Source organism: Homo sapiens, chromosome 12 (assembly GCF_000001405.40).
Source record: "Homo sapiens chromosome 12, GRCh38.p14 Primary Assembly".
Classification (NCBI taxonomy): Eukaryota; Metazoa; Chordata; class Mammalia; order Primates; family Hominidae; genus Homo; species Homo sapiens.
Genome location: NC_000012.12, coordinates 76,918,096 through 76,921,043, shown reverse-complemented (window position 1 = coordinate 76,921,043; position 2,948 = coordinate 76,918,096). Strand labels below are relative to the sequence as shown.

General features: G+C 41.2%; 1 annotated feature.

The window, feature by feature from the left end:
- Nucleotides 700-1,208: an enhancer, noted in NCBI's record as "H3K27ac-H3K4me1 hESC enhancer chr12:77313616-77314124 (GRCh37/hg19 assembly coordinates)". NCBI's record gives its function as "activates a minimal SCP1, AML or CMV promoter by ChIP-STARR-seq in primed H9 embryonic stem cells {active_cell/tissue: H9 hESC(primed)}" and the evidence as "EXISTENCE:reporter gene assay evidence [ECO:0000049][PMID:30033119]".

The window sequence follows — 2,948 nt, the reverse complement described above, 5'->3', positions numbered from 1 at the left end:
CCGATTTACTGTGCCCAGCAGAGTACATGCTCAATGAATATTCGTTAAATGAGTTAATGAATAAAAGCTGATATCTGAAAATGGGGCTACAGGCATGGTTAGTGGCCTAGTTAATCATCTCATGAGCAAAAGTAGTCCCATCCAAAATCACATCTCCAAGCATTGTACCAACTATTAGGATCCGGGTTCTCCTGAAAGCAGAGCCTGAGACAAAGGCAGGCATGCAGGTAGTTTATTTGCAAACTGACCCCAGGCATCAGGAATGAGGTAGGAGTGAAAGACAAAAAGCAGTGAAATAAACAAATGTTACTGAAAGGGACAAGGGAGGAAGGCAGTAACTGTTAAAGGGGGCACAGTGTTAGTAGGTGACATGGTTTGGGTATTTTGTCTCCTCCAAATCATGTGTTGAAATGTGACCGCCAGTGTTGGAGGTGGGCCTAGTAGGAGGTGTTTTGGTCATGGGGATGGATCACTTGCGAATGACTTGGTGCTTTCCTTGTGGTAATGAGTGAGTTCTCACTCTATGAGTTCATGTGAGATCTGACTGTTTAAAAGAGCCTGGCACTTCCTTCCTCTCTTTCTTGCTCTGTCTCTGGCCATGTCACACGCTGGCTCCCCTTCATCTTCTGCTGTTATGGTAAGTATCCTGGGGCCCCCACCAGAAGCAGATGCCATCACCATGCTTCCTGTGCAGCCTGGAGAACCGTGAGCTAAAATAAACTTCTTTTCCTTACAAATTATTCAGCCTCGGGTACTCCTTTAATAGCAATGCAAATGGACTAACAGTAGGTAAGCAAGGGTAGGTAGTATGCAAGAGTGAGGGCAATAAGCCCTGTTGGAGCAAGTCTGGAGAAAAGAATGGGTGAGGTTGATATTGGACAGTGTCATAAAGCTAGGCAGAACAATGGAGACTGACAAGTTCTAACTGTCTTGCAGTAATCTCTGATTTCAGGGTGGAGTAATTGCTCAGAAAGGCATAATGATCAGAACTGGCTTCAAGGGCTTGTAGTCTGCATTTGCGCAAGGCCTGCACTTGGCTTAATGCTCTGTCCTGGTGTCTTAAAACTCTTACTATTTTATCTTTGAACTTGTGTTCTGTGGTGAAGGCTGAGGGGACAGTGACACATGCGCATAACTAGAGGCTAGATGCTGGACCACTTTGCATGCAACCTGTTGTGGTCCAGCAGCCCATCCACAAAGGGCTCACCACCACCAGCCCGGCGGGCAGCAGGCATGCACGGCAGTCCCTCTGGGAAGTCCAGGGGGCTTGTGGGGACAACCGAGCTGGGACCTGGCCCAAGATTGACAATAGCAACAGTGACAGCAGCAGCAGAAGTAGTGGAGCAGGAGAAATGGCAGCAGATACAGGAGAGAGAATGGGCTCTGTATAAATGCAGCACCTGCAGAGGAAAGCCAGCTTGCCCTGTGTCTCCAGAGCCTGTCCTTGCCACATCTGCACAAATATTAACTCTCCCTCTACCTAGAGCGCTGGGACTATAATTGCGGGCACTCAGGCAGTAAATTTCGACAGTAAATTATTACAAAATAAAAGTCTGTACACATGGACATGGAACTGGAGCATGTCAGGGATTAGAATTATTGAAAGAGTTTAGAATCTCTGCTTTTGAAAACTGCTGCAATATTGCAAAGTAAATATCTACAGGCTTAAAAAGGGAAATTACACTCAAAAATTGTCACATTCAGTGAGAGAGACTTCTATTTTCATATGAAGCTTTGGCTGAAACAATTATTAACAAGGGAAACAGTTTTTAAATTAATTTTGTTCTTGTAATTAAAGATACAGCAATAGAATTCATAAAAGGGCATTTTCAATTATATACATAACATAAAGCCTCTATCTAGTTTCTTGTATTGGTCTCTGCAAGTTACAGAAAATACCAGAGGAAAAAAATAAATGCCATTGTATACATTTACATTAAAAATTAAATTCAAACACACAATTTATGAAGAGTTAAATTATTTTTAGAAAAATTGTTCCCCAAGAATTATCAGCCCTGGATATACTAAAATATATGTGTCACAACAATTTATCAGAAATTTATGCCAATGTTATCACAGTCAAAAAATAGTCTTAATAACTCCATAACAGTAGCATCAATAGAATCTTATCAAAATTACAAATTATAAAAAATTATTTGCCATCTTACATTTGCCAAGAGTGACCAGAATTGCTTTTAATTAGATTGATGGAAAAGTACAAATTTTGATGATCTAATAAATGAATTTGCAGAAAAGCAAGCCAGAAAAGTCTTATAATCAATTAAGATTTTACAATAATAAAGTAGTACTATTAATTTTATTATATAAAATTACAACACCAGGCCGGGCGTGGTGGCTCACGCCTGTAATCCCAGCACTTTAGGAGGCCGAGGCAGGTGGATCACAAGGTCAGGAGATCGAGACCATCCTAGCTAACATGGTGAAACCCCGTCTCCACTAAAAATACAAAAAATTAGCTGGGCACGGTGGCGGGCGCCTGTAGTCCCAGCTACTCAGGAGGCTGAGGCAGGAGAATGGCCTGAACCCGGGAGGTGGAGCTTGCAGTGAGCTGAGATAGCGCCACTGCACTCCAGCCTGGGCGAAAGAGCAAGACTCCATCTCAAAAAAAAAAAAAAAAAAAAATTACAACACCAAAAATATTCTGCTTTTTGTAATTGGTAAGTTTATGTTGTTACTCATGTGTCACTATTACTCCTTTAATGTTCTATAAATGGTAAAATATCTTTAAAGAAGAAAGCTTTATAGTTTAGTACCTTTAATGGTACTTTTATTCTCTTTTTTGAACAAAGGGCCCCACGTATTTTTTATACACTGCACCCCACAAATTATACATCTGGCCCTGAAAACAGTTATTTGAAATGTCATGCCATGGTTTGAATGTGTCATGTTTTGGACACTTAATCCCCAGTGCAAGTGTTGAGAGATGA